A 25,110-nucleotide genomic window follows, 5' to 3' on the forward strand; every position below is an offset into this window, starting at 1 on the left:
TACAAAGCACTTTAGCTATTTTTATAAATAAGTTTACCTTCACCAATGATCTGACCCCTGTTCAGATCCTTTCTTTTCTTCTTTTTAGTTCTTTTGCCTCTTCCTTTTTTTGCTCCAGCACCAGTCTCTGCTAAAGCGCCTTTCCACAGCTCATCTGCAGTCACTGTAACGAAACAGGGTTTCTTTTCTTAATTCTGTAGTTTTCAAGCAATGGTCTATGATCTCCTATTGAATAATAAGAGAAGTGGAGGTCAGCTTACAGCTTTACCCATGCATCACTGAGGTAATGAAAGCAAAATTAAATCATCCTTTGCACACATCAGACGGTTACACTTGGAAAGCCCAAGAAGAGACAATTCTATTACTTTCCTCCACAAAACTCTCACTAAATATTTTATTTTTCCCTCTAACTGCTTAAAAGCCAGCATTCAAATCTCAGTTACTTACCAATAGGTTCGTTTCCCTGACATTTTATCAACCATGATATAGGCGTCTTCCCTGTCCTCTTGCCTCCATTATAACCACTAAGATAACTAATAACTATCCTTCCTAAGTATAAGTTTTCTAGTCCAAACAAGAATCAACATTTCAATCTGAACCCACAAATCTGGAACACAATCTATGGTTATAAAATCAACTGTTGGCCAGGTACAGTGGCTCATTCCTGTAATCCCAGAACTGTGGGAGACTGAGGCAGGAGGATCACTTGAGGCCAGAGTTGGAGGCCAGACTGGACAACATAGTGAGATCCCATCTCTATTAAAACTTCAAATATTAGCCAGGTGTGATGGCATGTGCCCATGGTCCCAGCTACTGGGGAGGCTGAGGTGGGAGGGTCACTTGACCCCAGGAGTTTGAGATTACTATAATCATGCCACTGCACTCCAGCCTTGGGGACAGAGTGAGACCCTGCCTTCAAAAAAATAATTGTTCCATTACCAATTTCTTTAATAAAGAATCGGAACCACAAAATGTTATAACAGTAAAAAATCTAAGACATATTTATATCTATATAACTGAAATACTAAACAAATTCTAGAAGATAAATGAGTACCTTCATTCTCTTATGAATGCTTAGAGTTTAAAACTTCTACCTACTTGCTTCCTGCAAGGTCTTACGCTGATCCTCCAGGTAGATAACACGAAAAGAGAAAAATGTTTTAGGGTTATAATACTTTTAAATGCTTTATATCTGTATAGCATCCAATTTTTCAAAAACACACACATATACACAGCTGGTCTTCGTAAGTGAGGCTCAGGGAAAGTGAGATTCCACATCACATGTTGTTTTGGACATCCCTGACCAGAACAAAGGATTCGGCTCAACTTTAAGCCAACTCTAATTCACTTTAAAAGACCACAGGCTCAAAATAAAAGTACCAACCTCCAACCAAACTCTCACTAAGGATTTGATTTTTCTCTCTAAGTGCTAAAAAATGGTGGTACCTATAAATGCCATGGAAAACTTGAAAGTTCACTTGTAATGGAGGCATACTAAGAGGCCAATCAATCACAGAGTTTTCTTTCACTTAGAATCAGAACCCTTAAATCACTCATTAAGATGAAAAGAGACTCAATTTTAAAAAGAACTTGACATTGAGACAAAAATGTAAAAAGACTGAATTAAGAGTTTAGCTCTTTTATATATATATAGTAAGAGGAAAATAAAATATCTAACTATATTTGAAAAAGACAGCAAGTCATTAGTCAACCTTTGAATGCCATTATGCTATTAAAAACGTTTTTAATACTTTTCAAATTATAAAATAGCTATTTTTAAAAATCTGGAAAATACAGAATGCAAAAATAATCATAATCCCATTACCATTGTTAGATAAGAATGTATATTCTGCCTTTTTCTTTATGCATGCATACATAGTATATATTTAAGCAGAATTATACCATATGCACATTTGTATCCTGTTTTTTTTAAATTTAATATTACATTGTGAGTCTTTTCCCATATTCTTAAATATTATTCATCAACATAATTGTGTAATGGCTGCAAGGTGAATTAAGTTCTTTTAACAGAGATTTTACTATTTTTACCTCAGGTCTAAGATTCTAAATAACCTAAAAGGCTAGTTAGAATACATCTACTATCATTTCAATTCTTTCTGTCATTTTTCCAGAAGGGTGCAGTTAGGTTAATATATACACCTATTAACTATAAAAGATTAAGTTCATGTTTTGTTTTTTTTTGGAGATGGAGTCTCACTCTTGTCGCCCCAGATGGAGTGCAATGGCACGATCTCGGCTCACTGCAACCTCCGCCTCCCGGGTTCAAGAGATTCTCCTGCCTCAGCCTCCCGAGTAGCTGGGATTACAGGTGCCTGCCACCACGCCCAGCTAATTTTTATATTTTTAGTAGAGACGGGGTTTCACCATATTGGTCAGACTGGTCTCCAACTCCTGACCCCAGGTGACCCGCCCACCTCAGCCTCCCAAAGCGCTAGGATTACAGGCATTGAGTCACTGCACCCGGCCTCATGTTATATATATATACACACACATACATATACATAAATCCACTGTAGTGTCTAATCTTATACATGGAGTTATTTCCCTCTTAATCATGCTAAGTAACACAGATTGCTAATTTGAATCAAAGGGATTTAAACAGTGGATCCTCTACAGAAAACAGATAGGTTTATAAGATTCAATATTCATAGGAAATCATTTTTGAAAAAGTGTGTCCTTCTATTTCTTGGAGATTCAGAAATCAAAGACTATTTCCTACTGAAACAGCAAAAACTAGCCCCATGCTAGTTTCAACTGAGTTGGCCCAATTGGAGCAAATCTTACTGTGACTTGGAGCCATAAACCCACACAAGTACTGAGTCAGGCCAGGAGCAGTGGCTCACGCCTGTAATCCCAGCACTTTGGGAGGCTGAGACAGGCGGATCACGAGGTCAGGAGATCGAGACCATCCTGGCTAACAAGGTGAAACCCCATCTCTACTAAAAATACAAAAAAATTAGCCGGGCGTGGTGGCGGGTGCCTGTAGTCCCAGCTACTTGGGAGGCTGAGGCGGGAGAATGGCATAAACCCAGGAGGTGGAGCTTGCAGTGAGCTGAGATTGCGCCACTGCACTCCAGCCTGGGCGACAGAGGGAGACTCCGTCTCAAAAAGAAAAGAAAAAAAAAAAAAGTACTGCTTCATGTCACTGAGGAAGAAGAGGAAGAACACCAGTGAATGAAGAGAGTCCGAGGCAGGGGTGGGACAACCATGAAGGATGAGGTCTTGGAGAGTAAGGCCACCTCTAGAACAAGGCTTTTTAGAACAGGGAAAAGGCTATTAAAAAATAAAAATTCCCAGCCAGGTGCAGAGGCTCACACCTGTAATCCCAGCACTTTGGGAGGCCGAGGCGGGTGGATCACAAGGTCAGAAGATCGAGACCATCCTGGCTAACACGGTGAAACCCCGTCTCTACTAAAAATACAAAAAATTAGCTGGGCGTGGTGGCACGCGCCTATAGTCCCAGCTACTCAAGAGGCTGAGGCAGGAGAATCGCTTGAACCCAGGAGGTGCAGGTTGCAGTGAGCCGAGACCACGCCACTGCATTCCAGCCTGGGCGACAAGAGCAAGACTCCGTCTCAAACATAAATAAATAAATAAAAATAAATAAAAATTCCCAAGGCTTGTAAATCTGATATACCCACTAAAGTACAAAGTCAACTCTTAGAAAAAACTGGGGCTATGGATACTAAGAGGAGAGACTAATGGCCCCAACTCTATCCATCTCTCTTTTCTCTGTACTGGAATCTGTAGTTGTGCAACTAAGCCTATGTTGCTTAATCCTCTACCAAGTCTTTTCTGCGTTGTTGCTACACAAATGACCTACTAGGAGACTTCCAAATTAAAGTGAGCTGTATCCATACAATGAAATACTCTATGGTCATAACGTCGCACTGCAGAAGTCCACGGAAAAATGCAATATATTACATTAAAAAAAGCAGAAGGCCAGGCACGGTGGCTCACGCCTGTAATCCCAGCACTTTGGGAGGCTGAGGCAGGTGGATCACAAGTTCAAGAGATCAAGACCATTGTGGCCAACATGGTGGAACCCCATCTCTACTAAAAATACAAGTATTAGCTGGGTGTGGTGGCACGCCCCTGTAGTCCCAGCTACTTGGGAGGCTGAGGCAGGAGAATCGCTCAAGCCCGGGAGGTGGAGGTTGCAGTGAGCCGAGATCGCACTACTGTACTCCGGCCTGGTGACAAAGCGAGACTCCATCTCCCAAAAAAAAAAAAAAAAAAAAAAAAGGCAGCAAACTCAGTATTTCATAGTAGGAATACAGGTGATTATCTCTTTTTTATTTTTCTGTATTTACCAAATATTCTAAACTAATCATGAATTGCCTTTATAATCCTAATTTCTTTTTTTTTTTCTTTTGGAGATGGAGTCTCGCTCTGTGGCCCAGGCTGGAGTGCAGTGGCACGATCTCAGCTCACTGCAAGCTCCGCCTCCCGGGTTCACGCCATTCTCCTGCCTCAGCCTCCCAAGTAGCTGGGACTACCTGGGACTATAGGCGCCCGCCACCATGCCTGGCTAATTTTGTTTTTGTATTTTTAGTAGAGACAGGGTTTCACTGTGTTTGCCAGGATGGTCTTGATCTCCTGACCTTGTGATCGACCCGTCTCGGCCTCCCAAAGTGCTGGGATTACAGGCATGAGCCACCGCGCCCGGCCAATCCTAATTTCTTTTAATTTGCCTAATGCTGAGTTTTAAACTCAATCTCCATTTGTTACCTGACAAGCTAGTCTCAGTTCAGATTAGACTCTTTTAAATGCTATCACAAATAAGACTAGTGTTAGTGAACAATATCTCCTTACAATTAACTTTTTCCAATTAGATGTCCTGTCTCCTCAACTAAGGCACGAATGAAAACATGAGTATATTCTTGGTGTGAATCTAAGTCAGCAAGAGATATGGGCCATGATTCAATACCCTTCAGGCCTCAGGTGCCCCAAACAAGGGGACTAAAGCAAACTAGTACTCCCCAGAATACAACTGGTAGCATGTGAGATAATTCTAGGATGTACATCAAGGAACATTTTCATTTTAACAGTACATTGTAAACTAATCACTAAAATCTTAATTCATGTAAAAAAGAAGAAAAATTCAGATATAAGAAATCCTTTTCCTGTTTCAAGAAACAGGAAGTTTGTGGCCATTCTACATACATTTAGTGAAGAAACTATATGGTCTATACTGCTGGCTCATCAGGTGACTGGGAGAAGAAATACAGCATTGTGTCTGCAGTGCACGGCTCAAGCTGGCGTAGGGATGGGTGTCTCTGGTTCCCAGTGATGACAAATGGCCTGTAGGCAGATGGGTTAAACTTTGAGTTAGATGTTTCACAGCTGTGGAAAAACACTGCTAGCATCAAATAATCATTACTAACAAAAATAAGTCACTAAAATCCTGAACTTTTAAGAATCAGATTTTTAGGAGTCTTTCTTTTAAAAATAAAACTTTTGATCAATAACAACCTAAATGCCCAGCCTAGTTGGGAAAGTTATAGTTCATCCGCACAACGGGGGCAGCTGGGTAAAGAAAGAAGCAGATTTGTCCATACCGCAGTTTCAGCACTGCATTCGCTAACCTAGGTCAGCAGTCTACTCTGGGCAATTGGCGCCCTCTGCTGTAAACAGCCAGCAACGTATTGCTGTGGAAAGACCTGCAACTGGCCAGGTCAGAAGAGCAAGGTGCAGGAGAGCATGTACACTATCCTACTCTTCATGTTAAAAAACAAGGAGTGGGTGTGAATGCATTTTATAGACTAACCCAGAAGTATGTAAGAACCTGGAAACAACGGTTGCCTCTGGGAGATGAGTTACTCAACTGCACAGAGGAAGACAGATGACACACTGAGTTCCCTCTTAGCTCACTTAATGAATTAGTCAATAAAAAAGTAGACAGGAAATACGGGCTTTTCATTTTTAAACTCAGGACTTCATCATTCTAAATTCCATCATGCAGCATACACTTTAGCTTTAGCTTTTCTTGTATGCTCCTTAATTTTCTTTTTTTTTTTTTTTGAGACGGAGTTCTGCTCTTGTCACCCAAGCTGGATTGCAGTGGCGCGATGTCAGCTCACTGCAACCTCCACCTCCCAGGTTCAGCGATTCTCCTGCCTCAGCCTCCCAAGTAGCTGGGATTACAGGCATGCGCCACCACACCCAGCTAATTTTTGTATTTTTAGTAGAGACAGGGTTTCACCATGGTGGCCAGGCTGGTCTTGAACTCCTGACCTCGTGATCCACCCGCCTCGGCCTCCCAAAGTGCTGGGATTACAGCTATGAGCCATCGCGCCTGGCCAGCTCTTTAATTTTCAATAAAATATCTTATTTAATATTAACATAAGTAACTTAATACTAAATATTAAATATTTAATTATTAACTTAATATTAAATAAGATATTTAATCTTGTACTGTTTAGCACTGCAATCTCTGATATACTTTAAAAAGTGTAAAATCATTACTAATAAATTTAGAATTAACTTTTTTTGAAAGCCTGAAATACTTCTCCTATCTAATAATGTACCTTAAAAGGTCCAACTGTCAAAAGCAGAAAGAAATTGACTTTAGATTTGAGAAACAGTCACTTAAAATACACTGTTACAACCAACTTTGTTTAAAACGTGTTATAATTTTTATAACAGGAGATGGCATCAGCTTATGCTAAATTACTCAGTTACAGATTATCAATGATCAATTACCAGTTTTGGTTTTGTTCTTATTCTCTGAATTATTATTAATTTCAGACCATGAAGTCCCCATCTCAGTTAACAATTGCCCTGGAATCCAAAATGGGCCAAGCCCAAAAAGCACCCTCGTGTGGCTCAAGTCAAAGACATGCAGAGTCCTTTGGGAGGCCAAGGCGGGTGGCTCACTTGAGGTCAGGAGTTTGAGGCCAGCCTGGCCAACGTGGTGAAACCCCGTCTCTACTAAAAATACAAAAATTAGCTGGGTGTGGTGGCACATGCCTGTAATGCCTATAATCCGAGCACTTTGGGAGGCCGATGAGGGCGGATCACTTGAGGTCAGGAGTTCAAGACCAGCCTAGCCAACATAGTGAAACCCCGTCTCTACTAAAAATACAAAAATTAGCTGGGTGTAGTGGCACATGCCTGTAGTCCCAGCTACTCGAGAGGCTGAGGCAGGAGAATCGCTTGAACCCAGGAGGCGGAGGCTGCAGTGAGCCAAGATCAAGCTATTGCTCTCCAGCCTGGGCAACAGAGCAAGACTCCATCTCAAAAAGAAAAAAAAAAAAAAAGAAACACAGTCTGACCTCAAGGAGGGTTTTGTTTCAGCATTTATGGTTTTCACCATGATGAACTTCTTCCTCCTAATTTAAATCTCCTCTATTAAATCAAACCAGCTGATCAGTGATGTGTTTGAGAGATTTTAGAAAACTATTGCTATTTGTCTGACCAATCTATTGCAGCATTTAGAAAAATACTGTAACAGGTACTAAGGAAACTGTTGTAGGAAAAAGAAAATGTAATGATAGAATTCTACCTAACTCAGCTGTAAATATACACACAAACTTAATAATAAAAACACTGACCAGAGATTCATCAAAATTGTGCTTCTTACTATGTTGGAGAAGACAGGGACAATGAAGAGTTAAATTTTCAATTAACATAACAATTGATAAATTGAAAATTTAACTCTTCATTGTCCCTGCTCTAAGCCTAATACACAGAAACTACCCCGTAATTGTTATTTAGTTACTATTTCATAAAGCCTTGAACTATAACAATTGCAATCATAAGAAATCTGAAAATACTCTTCAGAACCTATGTAATCGCATCATAAAGAATGTGATTATTGCAGTAAGACTAACCAGGCTAAAAAATGAAAAAAGAAAAGAGAGAAAAGAAAAAAGCAGGTGATTACTTATATTTTTTAAAACTACAGAAACTACTTTGACATTAGATCTTATGAGAAAAGGTAGTAGCATTAATGAATCTCACCATTGCCGAGAACACTCTTCCATGCCAAAATGGAAGCTGCTGGTAAGGTGTTTAGGGAACACTGCCTCCCCAATAAATGACCTGCAAATTGGAAAAAAAAAAATTTAAGATACATTTCTACATTAAAGGAACATTTTAAACAGTAACACCCACAAAATATATCTATAGAATAAAGAACCAAGACGAGGGAGTAAGTAATTTCTGGGCTCCAGGACAACTTGTCAAGTAGCTGACACCATACCTCATCTTCTCCCTTCACCCTCACATCCAACCAGTTACCAAGCCCTTCAGTCTCCTCAAAAATCAATGCACCTGCCAGCTGTACCTTTTCCTGTGGCCTCAATGCCCCTTCTTTGCTCAAGCCTCATCACCACTCAGCCACAGAGTAACAAGTTTCCTAGCAGGTTTCCCAATTTCAATCTCTCCCCCTCTGCTTCATGGCTTTTCTAAAATAACAGGTCTGGTCACTTCACAGCTCTGATAGATTATTCTCTGACTCCCTACTATCTTCAGAACAAAGTCAAAACTCCTCAGCATGGCCTACAGGCCTGCCACATGGCCCCAAGCTTCCACACCAGCCTGCTGCCCCACCTTTCTCTCCTCCATCTTCCCTCTGGCCATGCCAGACTTGTAGTCAGTCTTGAACCTACTGTGCTCTCGCATACTTCTGTGTCTCTGCAAGGTTCTCTGTTTGTCTGAAACATCACCTCTTAGTGAAGCCTCCCTGATCCTACAATGTTCCCCCTTCCCTCTGGAATCCCTGCAGCACCACGCTGACTGTACTGTGTACCCTCTCACACAGTGTGGTACTCCAGAACAGGCTCTGACACAGCATTTATGGGCAAGTGATTTTTGACAAGGGTGTTGAGACCATTCAATGAGGAAAGAATCATGTTTTCAACAAGTGGTGCTGGGACAACTGGATATCAACATGTAAAAGAATGAAGTTGGCACCCTACCTCACACCATATATAAAAATTAATTCAAAATGCACCAAAGACTTATAGGTAAGAGCTAAAACGATGAAACTTAGAAGAAAACATAGGGATAAATCATCATGACCTTGGATTTTGCAATGGCTTCTTAGATGAGACACCAAAAGCACAGCAACAAAAAGAAAAAAAATAGACAAATGAGACTTCATCAAAATTTAAAACTTGTGGCTTCAAAAATACTATCAAGAAAGTGAAAAGACACACAGAATGGGACAACAATTTTGCAAATCATATATATGATATAAGGGTCTTGTACCTAAAAAACATAAAGAACACCTACAATTCAACAATAAAGACAACCCAATATAAAAGTGGGCAACATATTTGAATAGCTATTTCACAAAAACAAAAACAAAAACAAAAGAAAACATATACAAATGGCCATTAGCACATGATAATATGCTTCTTATTCATGAGGGAAATGCAAATCAAAACCACAAACTGATACCACTTCACATCCACTGGGCTGGCCAGGTAAGGAGGCTCATGCCTGTAATCTCAGCACTTTGGGAGACTAAGGCGGGAGGACTGCTTGAGCCCAGGAGTTCAAAACCAGCCTGGTCAACATTGCGAGACCCTGTCTCTACAAATTTTTTTCTTTAATTAGCCAGGCATGATGGAACACATCTGTAGTTCCAACTACACAGGAGGCTGAAGTGGGAGGGTCACCCGAGCCCAGAAGGTTGAGGCTGCAGTGAGCTGCAACTGTGCCACTGCACTTCTACCTGGGCAATGGGACAAGACCCTGTCTCGAAAAAAAAAAAAAAACCCACATCCACTAAGATGGCTATAGTAAAAAAGACAGACATTAAGTGCTGGCAAGGAAGTAGAGAAATTGGAAGCCTCATATACTGCTGGTGGGAATGTAAAATGGTGCAGCTTTGGAAAACAGTTTGGCAGTTCCTTGACACCTAAACATACATGTCACATGTATGGCTCACACCTATAATCCCAGCACTTTGGGAGGCCAAGGCGGGAGGATTGCCTGCACCCAGGAGTTAGAGACCAGCCTCGGCAACATAGTGAGACCCACTCTACAAAAAATAAAGAAAAACTAGCCGGGCATGGTGGCATGCACCTGTAATCCCAACCACTCAGGTGGCTGAGGTGGGAGGATGGATTAAGCCCAGGAGATGGAGGCTGCAGTGAGCCGTGATCGTGCCAATGCACTCCAGCCAGGGCGACAGAAGGGGGTTAAAGAAGAAACAGTAAACACAGTTTCCATATGACCTAGCAATTACAATCCTAAGTATATACCCAACAGAAATAAAAATATACTTACAAAAACATTGCACACAAATGTTTCTAGCAAAATAGGCCTAAGAGCCAAAAGGTGGAAACAACCCAAATGTTCAACTGATGAGCAGAAAAACAAAATGTGGTATTCATACAATATCATTCAGCCATAAAGGATGAAGTGCTGGTACATGCTACAAGGATGAACCTTTACAACATTATGCTAAATGAAAGAAGCCAATCACAAAAGACTACATATTACATGATTCTACTTATATGTAATGTCCAGAACAGGCAAGCTACAGAGAGAGAGAAGGAAAGTACATCAGTGGTTGTGCTGGAGGCCAATGGGAAGCTGGGAAGTGACAGCTAAAAGGTACAGGTTTTCTTTTTACAGTGATTATAATGTTGGCTGCATTGCTCTGGTGATATACTAAAAACCACTGAAATGTACACTTTAAACGGATTAATTGTATGGTATGTGAATTATGTCTCAACAAGGAAGCCGTTACCAAAAACAAAAAACAGGCTTCGGAGCCAGGTGATATGGGTGCAAAAACCTTATTGTCCACCTAGCCTAACCTTAAGCAAGTTTCTGAAGCTGTGTGCCTTAACTCCCTCATCTGTAAAATGGGAACAGCAGTATATACCTCATGAAGGCATTTCGAAGATAAGGTGAGGAAAATGAAGGAAAGCTACAACAGCTAGGAGCCATTTGAACAGGACCTTGAAAAAGCAGGAGACGGCCGGGCGTGGTGGCTCACACCTGTACTCCCAGCACTTCGAGGCTGAGGCGGGTGGATCACGAGGTCAGGAGTTCGAGACCAGTACGACCAACATGGTGAAACCCCGTCTCTACTAAAAATACAAAAATTAGCCAGGCATGGTGGCAGACGCCTGTAATCCCAGCTACTCAGGAGGCTGAGGCAGGAGAATCGCTTGAACCCGGGAGGCGGAGGTTGCAGTGAGCCGAGATCGCACCATTGCACTCCAGCCGGGGCGACAGAGTAAGACTGTCTCAAAAAAACAAAAACAAAAACAAAAAAACAAAGGAGGAGACGGAGACAACACGGACAAAACAATGTTCAAGTCAGATTTTCTGCCAAATGACTTCAGGTCAAAGATTGCAGCTAAATGAGTTTTAAAATACACATATTCGGGCTCTAGGGCTCTTCAGATTTCGAAACTACAAACGGTGGATTGTGGACTTCCAGTAAAATTGAGCAAACAGAAAATGCAAAGTCAATCACGGAGCGTCTCCTAGAGATAAACGTTATGCTGGACGACAAACCCACGTCAACATCAAATGAACCCGGGGGTCGCACGCGCCCCAAAGGCGATGCTTGCCAGTTTCCGCTCCTCTTCGCCAAGCACGCTCAAGCGGTTTCGTGAACTGGGAAGAACCCTGAAGAACGACGTCCAGTTCCCCCTCATTTTACAGACAAGAGCTCCGCGACCCAGAGAGGGAGAGGACGCGCGCAAGGTCACACAGCGGCTCCGGCGGAAGGTGGGGGCACGGCGTGAAGAGCCGGGGGCCGCGGCTTCTCGCTTCCCTCCGCCCCGACTTCTGCAGGCCCCAGGCGAGCCCCCCACTCCCGGCCCGCTCAGAGCCCCTGCTCCCGGCGTCCCAGCTCTCACCTGCCGTCCCGCTACACAGCACGGGGAGGCAGCCCACAGCGCGCACCGCGGTCGCCATGCTGGAGTCCGAGCCGCGCCTCGGCCTCCGCCCAGGGCAGCCTTGCCCACCGCCTACCGCGACTGCTCCTCGTCAAACGGCAAGCCTTGGGCCGCAGCGGAATTCCTGAGGCCCGAGTCCACGCAGCAGCGCAGGCCGGGGTGAGGGACTGTCCGGACGGGCCACACTGCAGGCGGAGCCCGGCGCGACCGCGGACAGCCCCGCGGGCGCCTCCCGTTAGGACCCGAGGGCGGGGCTTGGACTGGCGGCCGGGCGTGGGCGGGGCTAGCTGGCTCCTGCAGCGCCGGAGAGAGGGCAGGACCGGCCGGGTGGATTTGGCTGCTCGTGCAGGAGCTCTGAAGGGGTCCGCTGGCGGGGGACCCTCGGACTTACCCGAGCTGGCACTGCGGACCCCTGCGAGGTTCATAGAAGCACGGAAGGGGGCCAAGTGCAATGAGGATCCAAGGGATGAATAAGCGAGGAATGTAGAGAAAGTGTTCATCCCCAACTCCAGTAAAGCTCTGAGTTTCATTAGATTAAGCACTTAAATGACCTGCATTTCACATACACTTGTGGATTCATACTGATTCTAACGTTTGGTCACACATGCATATCTCAGCCCTGGGCCATGGTTTTTTTATTGCCTCCATACCATCTACGCCTACTCAAGTGACCCACACACCTGCAACACAGAAGGGCACAATGTCTTGTAAGAGGGTAGCCTGCTCAGATACAATGTCTTGTAAGAGGGTAGTCTGGTTTTCGAGTCTAGCATAAAAATTTTCAAACATACCGAAGAGTAAAAATACTGACAAGCTAGACTTAACGATTATCAAGAGGAACACAGTTGTTTCATCTATTATTTTCCCATTTTCTTTGCTGAAATAGACAACTTATTTCACTCCAGGTTATTTTGATGTACACCATTTTCAACAGGCCTTTTATATATTGAGTTGGCGAAATTAAGAGAAAAGAGATTGATTACACCTATGTGTAAAGCCAACTGCTTCAGCATAATTGGGAACATGGTAAGACCAGCTAATTCCATGAGCAAGGACCTACTGCCACACTTCATTTGCTGTGGAGTGAGTTCCTAAGTCAGAGGCAACAGTGTGTGAAATAATTAAACCCAAGGATAGTTGTTTTGGCAGATGCATTGTGGGCAGGAACAGCAAATCCATATCCAAAGTGTCTATTCTAGTGAGAACAATTGCTGCCCCTTCCATGGTCCAACCTACAACCAGATAGCTGGCTGAGCCCCCAGGAGTGTTGCCATATCAGGAGCTGTAGCCAGATTGTCCCTGGCGAGTGAAAGTCCACGTTGACCCCATGTGTAACCTCCATCCCTAGCCCTTTATTCATGAGTCCATTTGGCTAAGTAAAGAGGCTGACTGACATCCACTAAATGGGTTATTCTATCCACCTCATTAAAATCCTCTGTGGAGGTCGCCCTTTGATAAGCACTCATGTGGGAAATAATTATCTTCACATTCTGGGCTGAAGTCCATCCACATACCTGTTTCCTAGACCTCTTTGTCACCAACTTCCTAATTATGTTCCTCTCAAGTACTGACCATCCAGCCAAGTCATTAGCCACTGCTCATGAAAAAGTATAGATCTATACTTCTAACCAGGCAAAATGAACAACCAGGCACATTACTCTTATCTTCTTCCCACTGGGAGGATTTCCCTTCACCGCCGTCCTTCAGAAGCATCCCAGAGTGGGATTGCAGTACTGCAGCTGTCCACTTTCAGGTGATACCAACAGATCATGCAGAACCATGAGTAAACCAAGCCCAAGAGTTTTCTTCTTCAGGCAACTGGTCACAGGTAATTCCTCATGAAGCTGTGGGTAGGGGTTGAGAGAGAGAAGATCATGTAGCTTGCATGTTCAGGTCCTGCTCCAGTTCAGTTTCATATGTACCACTTCCATTCGATGATGGAGTGTTGCTGTGCACACACAACTTTATGGCTTGGTGATCATACAACAGCCAGTTCATGATGAGCAGCTTAAACTGCATGGTAAGTTGCTGGTCAATGGTCAAGCCTCCAGACTCTGTTAAGGCCCAAAGCAAGTTTTGATTACTTAGTCGTTTGTTTCTAACTTTTAAATTTGAAATAATTACAGATTCAAAGATACAGATAGGAAGTTGCAAAAATAGTACAGAGAGGTCCCATGTATCCTTTACTCAGTTTCCCCAAATGGTACATCTTACATAACTATAGTACAACATCAAAACCAGGAAGCTGACATCGGTACAATCCATAGATTTTATGAGTTTTACATACACTCATTTGTGTATGTGTGTGTAGTTCTATGCAGTTGTGTCACATGTAGATTTCTGTATCCAGCACCACAATCGAGATACAGAACTGTTCTATCTCCAAGATCACCTGTGCATCTCCCTTCGAGTCAAACCCACCCCCTCTTTTATCCTCTCCTCCACCATCTTTAACCTTTGGCAACCACTAATCTGTTTCTCATCTCTATAATTTTATCATTTTAAGAACATTATATAAATGGAATCAGATAATACATGATCTCATGACTGGCTTTTTTTCACTCAGCATAATACCCTTGACGTCTATCCAAGTAGTTCCATGTACCAATAGTTTCTTCCTTTACATTGCTGAGTAGTATTCCATGGCACTAACATTTGTTTAACCATTCACCCATTGTAGGACATTTAGTTTGTCTCATATTATTATTTTTATTTTTATTTTCCTTTTCCTTTTCTTTTTTTCCTTAAGACAGAGTCTCGCTCTGTCACCCAGGCTGGAGTGCAGTGGCATAGTCTCAGCTCACTGCAACCTCCGTCTCCTGGGTTCAGGCGATTCTCGTGCCTCAGTCTCCTGATTAGCTGGGATTACAGGCGTGTCCCATTACACTCAGCTAATTTTTTGTATTTTTAGTAGAGACGGGGTTCCACCATGTTGGCCAGGCTGGTCTCAAACTCCTGGCCTTTAAGCAATCCACCCACCTCAGCCTCCCAAAATGCTGGGATTACAGGCGTGAGCCACTGCACCCAGGCTGTCTTCAGTTATTAACTATTTCAAACAAAGCTGCCATCAACATTCATGTATGTGATTTTTTGATATTTAGAAATTTTATTTTATTTTTATTTTTTTGAGACAGAGTCTCACTCTGTCGCCCAGGCTGGAGTGCAATAGCGCGATCTCGGCTCACTGCAAACTCCCCCTCCCAGGTTCAAGCGATTCTCCTGCCTCACCCTCCTGAGTAGCTAGGTAGAGGCCTGTGCCACCATGCCCAGCTAATTTTTGTATTTTTGTAGAGACAGCATTTCACCATGTTGCCCAGGCTGGTCTCAAACTCCTGACCTCAAGCGATCCGCCCACCTCAGACTCCCAAAGTGCTGGGATTACAGGCATGAGCCACTGTGCCCAGCCAGAAATTTTAAAATTGTGGTAAAATACACATAACATAAAAATTGCCATCCTTTTTTTTTTTTTTTTTTGAGACGGAGTCTCGCGTCGCGTCTCGCTCTGTCGCCCAGGCTGGAGTATAGTGGCATGATCTCAGCTCACTGCAACCTCCGCCTCCTGGGTTCAAGCGATTCTCCTGCCTCAGCCTCCTGAGTAGCTGGGACTACAGGCGCCCACCACCATGCCCAGCTAATTTTTGTATTTTTAGTAGAGACAGGTTTCACCATGTTAGCCAGGATGGTCTCGATCTCTTGACCTTGTGATTCACCCACCTTGGCCTCCCAAAGTGCTGGGATTATAGGCGTGAGCCACCACACCTGGACCATCTTAATCATTTTTAAGTGTACAATTCAGTGGCATTAAGTACATTCACGTTGTTGTGCTACCATCACCACCATCTATCCACAGAAGTCTTTTATCTTTCAAAACTGAAACTGCAGCCATTAAACAATAACTCCCCATTCCCCTCTCCCTTCATGTAAGTGCAGTTATATAGTATTGTCCTTTTGTGACTGGCTTATTTCACTTAGCATGTTGTTCTCAAGGTTCATCCAGGTATAGCGTGTGCCAGAATGTCCTTACTTTTAATATTATGAATAATATTCCATTGTATGAATAGATCATATTTTATTATCCATTCATCTGTCAATGGACACTTGGGTTGCTTTCACCTTTTGGCTATTGTGAATAATGCTGCTGTGAACATGAGTGTGCAGATAATCTCTTCAAATCTCTGCTTTCAATTATTTTGAAATATATCCATCATGTACATGATTTTGTGTGGCTATAAGTTTTAATTTGGGGGGATAAATGTCAAGCTGTGAGATTATTAGATTGTGTGGTAAGTATATGTTTAGTTTTTAAAGAAACTGCCAGCCGGGCATGGTGGCTCACGCCTGTAATCCCAGCACTTTGGGAGGCCAAGGTGGGTGGATCATCTGAGGTCAGGAGTTAGAAACCAGCCTGGCTAACATGGTGAAACCCCATCTCTACTAAAAATACAAAAATTAGCCAGGTGTAGTGGCGCACACTTGTAATCCCAGCTACTCAGGAGGCTGAGGCAGGAGAATCACCTGAACCCAGGAGGTAGAGGTTTCAGTGAGCCGAGATTGAGCCATTGCACTCCAGCCTGGGCAACAAGAGTGAAACTCCATCTCAAAAAAAAAAAAAAAAAAAAAAAAGAAAGAAAGAAAGAAAGGAAGAAAAAAAGAAAGAAACTGCCAAACTACTTTCCAAAGTGGCCATTCCATTTTATATTCCTGCCAGCAATATGTGAAAGATCTAGTTTCTCTGTATCCTCACTAACATTCAGTGTTATCCCCATTTTTTTTAGCTGCTCTCATAGGTATGGTGACATATCATCATGGTTTTAATTTACATTTCCCTAATAGCTAATGATGTTGAATTTCTTTTCATGTGCTTCTAGAATTGCCATCTGTATACCCTCTTGAGTAAAATGTCTTTTGCTCATTTTCTAGTTGGATTGTTTGGTTTCTTTCACTGCTGTGTTTTGAGAATTCTTTGTATATTCTACATGTGAGCCCATTTTCTTTTTTTTTCTTTTCTTTTTTCTTGGAAACAGGATCTTGCTGTATCGCCCAGGCTGAGTGTACTGGCACTATCATAACTCAATGCAGCCTCACACTCCTGGCCTCAAGCAATCCTCCTGCCTTGGCCTCCCATAGCTACAGGAATAACCACGGGATGGGTTCTGGGACCTATTGCGCCCACCGTGAGACAGACCTGACCTAAAACTCCACCAATCACCTGATCTCTTTATGCCTCTGCTCTGACAGGTCACTGTGACATTTCGGGTCTCCAGGAATTGGTGTCAGCTCAGAGGCAGTGTTGAGTAATCCTTAAAACATCTGGATATTTCTCTGTCCTTGATGCATAGTCACCCTGGTAAATGGCTACAAGTACCTTTGGGGAAGGCTGAAAGGAAGATTAGCTGTACGTTTTTGGTAGTGTACCAATGCCTTTCCTGAGAGGGGACCCAGCCTGCCCTTCACTCGAGGGACTCTGGATCTGTGAATTCACTCAAGTCTGGGAATTGATTGAGGAGACATGACTCCCTCTTTTGGTGATTCAAGTCAGACTTCTGTTCACTAGGCCTAGATCTTTTCTGCCTATACAAATCCAGTAAGACTTCAGTAGGTTCTCCATCTCTTTTATTTCCAGAAACACCAAAGGTCAACACCAAAGGTCCTAGTGAGCCTGGCCATTCTGATGATTGTGTTTGTTCTACTGTCTATATGGTAACCATACCCAACTTCTGTTCAGTGATTAAGTGCCACCACATAGTGCCTGTCACCTCACTATCTTCATTGTGTTTAGTGTTTTTTGGTTGTTTTGTTTTTGTTTTTGTTTTTTTGTTTTTGTTTTTGTTTTTTTGTTTTTTGTGTTTTGTGTTGTTTTTTGAGACAGAGATTTGCTCTTATTGCCCAGGCTGTAGTGCAGTGGCATGATCGCAGCTCACTGCAGCCTCCGCCTTAGTGGTTCTCCTGCCTTAGCCTCACAAGTAGCTGGGATTACAGGTGCCTGCCACCACGCCCGGCTAATTTTTATATTTTTAGTAGAGACAGGATTTTAGCCTGTTGGCCAGGCTGGCCTTGAACTCCTGAACTCAGGTAAGCCACCTGCCTCGGCCTCCCAAAGTGCTGGGATCACAGGCGTGAGACACCGCACCCGGCCTAGTGTTTTAGTTTGATGGTAGCTGTTCCCTCTATATTTTTGACCTAAAGAGCCATGGCCACATGCAGTGGCTCACACCTGTAATCCCAACACTTTGGGAAGCTGAAGTGGAAGGATCACTTGAGTCTGGGAGTTCAAGACCAGCCCTGGACAACACAGTGAGACCCCACCTCTACAAAAAGTTTTTAAAATAAAAAATTAGGGCTGGGCGTGATGGCTCACGCCTGTAATCCCAGCACTTGGGGAGGCCGAGATGGGCGGATTGCCTGAGGTCAGCAGTTCAAGACCAGCCTGGCCAACACAGTGAAACCTCATCTCTACTAAAAATATAAAAAGCCAGGCATGGTGGCAGGTGCCTGTAATCCCAGCTACTCAGGAGGCTGAGGCAGGAGAATCACTTGAACCTGGGAGGTGAAGGTTGCAGTGAGCTGAGATCCCACCGTTGCACTCCAGCCTGGGCGACACGAGCAAGGCTTCGTCTCAAAAAAAAAAAAAAAAAACAGCTGGGCATGGTGGTGTGTCCCTGTAATCCCAGCTACTTGAGAGCTGAGGCAGGAGAATTGCTTGAACCCAGGAGGCGGAGGTTGCAGTGAGCCAAGATCGAACCACTGCACTCCAGCCTGGGCGACAGAGTGAGACTCCGTCTCAAGAAAAAGAAGAAAGAAGAAGGAAGAGGATGAGGAGGAGGAGGAGGGAGAAGAAGAAAGAAAAAGGAGGAGGAGGGAGAAGAAGAAAGAAAAAGGAGGAGGAGGAATAAGGAAGAAGAAGTAAGAAGGAGGAAGAGGAGGAGGAGGAAGAAGGAGAAAGAAGGAGGAGGGAGGAGTAGGAGAAGGAAGAAGAAGGAGGAGAAGAAGAGGGAGAAAGAGAAGGAGGAGGAAGAGGAGGAGGAGGAGGAGAAGGAAAGGTGGAAAAAGAGAGCCATCACAGACAGCATCAAGGACACTGAAGCTCATCTCACAACTTATTTCTCACAACTGTAGTGAAAGAAGGATCCTCCGACCCTCTCAAGGTGGGTGAGCAGTTCTCATAAGATAAATCCACTCTATCATTCTAATCTCCCCAAGCCTTTGGATCGCTTCTTCTGTAGTATACCAAGGAAATTCTGGTATTTCAGTTTCCTCTGGTATAGGCCACTCTGGGCCTACACTTCCGTCAGTCTACGAAGAAAACTGTTGGTGACATTTTTAGCCTCTTTAGCCAAAACACTGACTCTGAAAGTTTTGCTTAGGGAGGAGTTTCACTTCCAGGGTGGCATGGTGAGGAGTTATGCAGACCCACTCCTCAGTGAAATAAGCATAATTGGTGAAAACTATTAAGAAGCTTTTTAATCTCTGGAAATTGTCCTAAGGACGTGCAGCAAATGAAGAAACATTTATTCAGGAAGAGCTACTAAAACTCAATAAGAACAAAAGAGTCCATGGCACTTGAGCTACAGTCCACTCCAACCCTCAGCACCCTCCTTCCCAGCTCAGCTTGATGAAGGCTCCATTCTCGACAGGTGTGATGAAGAAGACAGGGCTCACCTCAGCTCCCAATCAAGGGATGTGGTGTCTCGCTGGGAAAGGCAGACCACAAGATTCTTCATCTCCTCCAACTCCTAGTTGAAGAGGCTAAATTCCTACTATGTGTGGCTGAGAGATCAGAGGCTTCCTTCCTCCAAACTGCCCCCACTTACAGGATAAGCCTGGATCACTGGTGCACCAGGATGAGGAGATAGGGGCTCCCGTTGCCCTCATCTCAGTTCATTCATTGGACAGGGATTCCACACCAGGAGAATCAAGCCAAGAAGATCTGAGGCTACCACCCCCACCCATTGCCTGGGAGTAGTGGCTCAGAGATGTTGCCCAGTAGGAGAGAGAGTCCACAAGACCAGAGAGCTCCAAAGCTACCCCTCAAGGAACTGACTTTATTTAAAACAGAGTTTGGGGAAGTTCAAACCTAAGGGAACTCTTAAGAACAGTGATTTTGTTGGTCAGCAAGTAGGAGTCTGGTAACACCACTTAATTAAGCACAGCCAGCTAGGTCAGCCAGAAAGAGACACCTAAGAGGCCTCCAGGGGTCTCTTATTTATTTATTTATAATCAAGAATATGTGGTTTTGGAGGAGGATATCGGGGGACCTGCCCCGATAATCACGTAGGTTCTTTTCTATTTTCCTAAGCGTCGACTGGCTTGAGAAATAAAAGGGCAGAGTACAAAAGAGAAATTTTTAAGCTGGGTGTCCAGGGGAGACATCACACATTGGTAGGAGCCGTGATGCCCCACAAGCCACAAAAACCAGCAAGTTTTTATTAGGGATTTTCAAAAGGGGAGGGAGTGTGCGAATAGGTGTGGGTGACAGACACCAAGTACTTAACAAGGTAATAGAATATCACAAGGCAAGTGGAGGCAGGGCGAGATCACAGGACCACAGGACCACAGGACCGAGGTGAAATTAAAATTGCTAATGAAGTTTCGGGCACCATTGTCATTGATAACATCTTATCAGGAGACAGGGTTTTGAGATCAACGGGTCTGAACAAAATTTATTAGGTGGGAATTTCCTCTTCCTAATAAGCCTGGGAGTGCTATGGGAGACTGGAGTTTATTTGACCTCTGCAATCTCGACCATAAGAGACAGGTATGCCCCGGGGGGGCCGGTTCAGAGACCTACCCCTAGGTGTGCATTCTCTTTCTCAGGGACGTTCCATGCTGAGAAAAAGAATTCAGTGATATTTCTCCCATTTGCTTTTGAAAGAAGGGAAATATAGCTCTGTTCTGCCCGGCTCACCGGCAGTCAGAGTTTAAGGTTATCTCTCTTATTCCCTGAACAATTGCTGTTATCCTGTTCTTTTTTCAGGGTGCCCACATTTCATATTGCTCAAACACACATGCTGTACAATTTTTGTAGTTAATGCAATTATTACAGGGTCCTGGAACGATATACATCCTCCTCAACTGACAGGATTAAGAGATTAAAGTAAAGACAGGCATAGGAAATCACAAGGGTATTGATTGGGGAAGTGATAAGTGTCCATGAAATCTTTATAATTTATGTTTAGAGACTGCAGTAAAGACAGGCGTTAAGAAATTACAAAAGTATTAATTTGGGGAACTAATAAATGTCCATAAAATCTTCACAATTCACGTTCTTCTGCCGTGGTTTCAGCCGGTCCCTCTGTTTGGGGTCCCTGACTTCCCGCAATAGGAGGATAGACAGATTGACAGAACAAATTAGAAAATCCAGCAATACACAAATATGCCTGTTGTGTAAGGCCTAAAATTAAAGCCCAATAATATGGACTGCTGCCTTGACATCTGGTGAAATCAGGAGGGCTCCTAATGCCCTAACTGTAAGATCTACTCCCCACTCTTCCTCATGGATAAGAATCAAGCAATGCTCTATATCAAAGGGACCAGGCACAGTTTCTGCTTATCTCAGAGTAATGGGGTTCAGTTCCTGCCAGCCCACAGAATTATTCAAACAAACCGGTACCTCCTCCCACAGGAACCAGGAGTTATCTCTCCCTCTTAATACTACAAAGCCTGTTTCCCACAGCCCTTGCTGGTTCACTCTGTTCCCAAATGCAGCCCCTATGTTGCCCAGTGGGCATGGGGTATCCTCCTCTCAGTACATGTGAGTCATAAACCACTGTGGAGCTCTTCTTTCCAGTGTCGGGTGTCAGGTGTTCAGCCATCCCCAAACCCCAGAGCTGGAATCTTCGCCTCACCAACAGAGTGAATGAGAGGGCATTAAAACAATGCCCAACTTATTTTTTTACTAAGAGGCCAAAGCAATTCAGTGAGGAAAAGATAGCCTTTTCAACAAATGGTGCAGGAAGAACTGGACAACCACAGGCAAAATAAATAAGCAAGCCACAACCTGAACCTTATACTTTATCAAATAATTAGACTTCCCCAAATTTTTTATAAAACATTTATTCAATGAAAGACTCCATTAAGAGAATGAAATGGGCCAGGTGCCGTGGCTCACACCTGTAATCACAGCACTTTGGGAGGCCGAGGAGGGTGGATCGCTTACGGTCAGGAGTTTCAGACCAGCCTGGCCAACATGGTGAAACCCTGTCTCTACTAAAAATACAAAAATTAGCCAGGCATGGTGTCAGACACCTGTAATCCCAGCTACTCAGGAGGCTGAGGCAGGAGAATTACTTGAACCCAGGAGGCAGAGGTTGCAGTGAGGCAAGATTGTGTGCCACTGCACTCCAGCCTGGACGACAGAGCAAGACTCTGTCTCAAAAAAAAAAAAAAAAAAAAAAAAAACAGAGAGAGAAAATTAAATGACAAGCTACAGACTGGGAGGAAATATCTGCAAGCCACATACCTGACAAAACACTAGTATCTAGAATTTATGAAGAATTCTCAAAACTCAACAGTAAAATAACAAGCAATTCGATTAGAAAATGAGGAAAAGACATTTCACCAAAAAAGATGTACAGAAGGCAAAGACGTACATGAAAAGATGTCCCACCATATTAGCCATTAGGGAAATGCAAATCAAACCCACAATGATATATCCCTACACACCTATCAAAATGACTGAAGTAAAAAGTAGTGCCAACACCATAAACTGATGAGGATGTGAGAAACGGGATCACTCATACATTGCTGGTGGGGACATAAAATGGTACCGCCATTCTGGAAAACATTTTGGCAGTTTCTTAAAAAGCTAAACATGCAGGCCAGGCACAGTGGCTCACACCTGTAATCCCAGCACTTTGGGAGGCAAAGATGGGTGGATCACGAGGTCAGGAGTTCAAGACCAGCCTGGTCAACATGGCGAAACCCCGTCTCCACTAAAAATACAAAAATAAGCCGGCCGTGGTGGCATGTGCCTGTAATCCCAGCTACTCAGGAGGCTGAAGCAGGAGACTCGCTTGAACCCAGGAGGCGGAGGTTGCAGTGAGCTGAGATCATGCCACTGCACTTCAGCTTGGGCAACAGAGCAAGACTCCATCTCAAAAAAAAAAAAAAAAAAAAAGCTAAACATGCCTCTACCCTACTACGCCTAGCAATTGCATTCCTGAAAATTTATCTCAGATAAATGGAAACTCCTATTTACACTAAAAAACCTGTTTATGAATGTTCATGGCAGCTTTATTTGTAATAGCCTTCAAACTGGAAACATCCCATGCATCTTTCAATGGGTGAATGGTTAAACGCACTCTCGTAAATCCATGTCATATACTCCTACTCAGCAATAAAAAGGAGTAAGTCATTGATACACACAATTTGGGTGACTCTCCAGAGAATTATGCTAAATGAAAAAAGCCAATCTTGGCCAGGCAAGATGGCTCATGCCTGCAATCCCAGCCCTCTGAGGGGCTGAGGTGGGAGAATCGCTTAAGCCCAGGAGGTTGATGCTGCAGTGAGCTGCGACAACACCACTGCACTCCAGCCTGGGCGACAGAGCAAGACCCTGTCTCAAAAAGAAAAAGAAGAAGGAGACATCAACTTCAAAAGGTCACATACTGCATGGCTTAATTTACACAATGTTCTTGAAATGACAAACAGAAATGGAGACCAGATGAGTGGTTGTCAGGAGTTAGGAAGGGGGTGGCAGCAGGAGGGAAGTGGTGTGGCTATTCAAGGGCAACATGAATCCTTGTGGTAATGGAAGTACAGCTGGCCCTCCATATCCATGGGTTCCTTATCTGTGGATTCAGCCAACCAAGATAAAAAATATTCAGAAAAGAAAGGATGGTTGTGTCTGTACTAAACATGTACAGACTTTTTTCTTGTCATTATTTCCTAGGCAATACAGTATAACAACTACTACATAGCATTTACATTGTATCAGGTGTTATAAGTCATCTAGAGATTAAAGTCTACAGGAGGATGTGCATGGGTTATATGCAAATACTATTATATGTCATTTTGTATCAGGGACTTGAAAAGTCGCAGATTTTGGTATCTACAGGGATCCTGGAACCAATCCCTCAGGGATATTGAGGAATTACTATATTCTGTATCTTAACTGTATCCATGTCAATATGCTGGTTGTCATATTGTTTTGCAAAGTGTTACCATTAGGAAAACTAGGTGAAGGGTACATGGGATTTCTCTGTATTATTTCTCACAACTGCATGAGAATCTACAGTTATTTCCAAATAAAAATTTTAATGTAACAAGTATATGAACTCAAAAAAGTTCAGCTGACCATGAGAATGGATATCTTATACCAAGGACTAAAGGAATCTTTTCCCCTACCAAGAATCTTGGCCAAATTTTTTTATTGGGAGTTGATAGCCTCTCAAAAATCATAAACTTTGTGATTTTTACAAAGGTTCTTTCTGGTGGTCCCTGGATGTCCAAGCCACATCTCATCACCCTTACTCATTTGCTCAAACCAGGCCAGCAAATTAGGCCTCAGTCTTAGGGATCACCCCTATTTCTGCACCCTGGTTATTCGAACCGCTTTTTAAGGCCTCCCTCCCAGGTGTTTCCCTGGAAGGACTCGCTACCAATGCTCTGGAGAACCAGATACAGGCAGTTCAGGCCATGGTTAAGGCTCTCCAGTTCCCTAGGGCTGACCTCATCCCCTTTTATAACAGCTACATTTTGATATATTTCACCTACCACACAATTCACTCATTTAATGTGTAAACTTGGTGGGTTTTAGTATATTCACAGGACTGTGCACCCATGAACAGAGGCAGTTTTAGAACATCTATTATTACTGCGAAAAGAAACCCCATACCCTTTAGCTGTTTCTCCCCTAAACTTCGTCCAGTCTGTCACCCTAGCTTAAAGAAACCACTAATTTAACTAAGAACCCACTGCCAAATCTGAGGTCATGAAATTTATCCGTTTTCTTCTAAGAGTTTTACCATTTTAGCTTTGATGCATTTTGCATTTATTTTTGTATATTGGGTTAGGTAAGAGTCCAGTTTTTGCATGTGGCTGTACAGGTGTCCCAGCACCATTTGTTGAAAAGACTATTCCTTCCCCATAGAATGGTCCTGGCACTCTTGTTGAAAATTAGTTGACCATAGACACATAGGTTTATTTCTGAGCTCAAAATTCTATTCTGTTGGTCTATATATCCATAATTTTACCAGTTCCATACTATCTTGACTAC

General features: G+C 43.3%; 2 protein-coding genes across 12 annotated transcripts in view, besides 1 other annotated feature; both read right to left on the bottom strand.

Annotated features, from left to right (window-relative positions):
- Positions 1-12,125, bottom strand: part of MRPS5 (mitochondrial ribosomal protein S5) — a 36,635-nt gene extending 24,510 nt beyond the window's left edge. For 4 of the 6 annotated variants that reach the window (NR_136152.2, NR_136153.2, NM_001321996.2 and 1 more), the window contains exons 1-4: positions 11,856-11,930; positions 7,987-8,067; positions 5,188-5,325; positions 38-163 (exon numbers count right to left, since the gene is read on the bottom strand). Coding sequence is in view for 2 of the 6 variants with exons in the window: in NM_031902.5 (NP_114108.1) it covers positions 38-163; positions 5,188-5,325; positions 7,987-8,067; positions 11,856-11,913 (403 nt within the window). In the remaining 4 variants the exon portion in view is untranslated. Of the gene's footprint in view, positions 1-37; positions 164-5,187; positions 5,326-7,986; positions 8,068-11,564 lie in introns of all 6 variants that reach the window. The other 2 variants (NM_001321997.2, NM_001321995.2) reach the window with 1 other exon arrangement.
- Positions 11,983-12,252: a silencer, noted in NCBI's record as "silent region_11739". NCBI's record gives its function as "represses an Ori minimal core promoter by ATAC-STARR-seq in GM12878 lymphoblastoid cells {active_cell/tissue: GM12878}" and the evidence as "EXISTENCE:reporter gene assay evidence [ECO:0000049][PMID:35858748]".
- ZNF514 (zinc finger protein 514) overlaps positions 13,227-25,110 on the bottom strand; it is a 36,744-nt gene continuing 24,860 nt past the window's right edge. For 3 of the 6 annotated variants that reach the window (XR_001739001.2, XR_001739002.2, XR_007083290.1), the window contains one exon: positions 13,227-13,948. The gene's annotated coding sequence lies outside the window, so the exon portion shown is untranslated. Of the gene's footprint in view, positions 13,949-19,908; positions 21,204-25,110 lie in introns of those variants that run through there. The other 3 variants (XR_007083314.1, XR_923048.3, XR_007083281.1) reach the window with 2 other exon arrangements.

This window comes from Homo sapiens, chromosome 2 (assembly GCF_000001405.40).
Source record: "Homo sapiens chromosome 2, GRCh38.p14 Primary Assembly".
NCBI classification, from domain to species: Eukaryota; Metazoa; Chordata; class Mammalia; order Primates; family Hominidae; genus Homo; species Homo sapiens.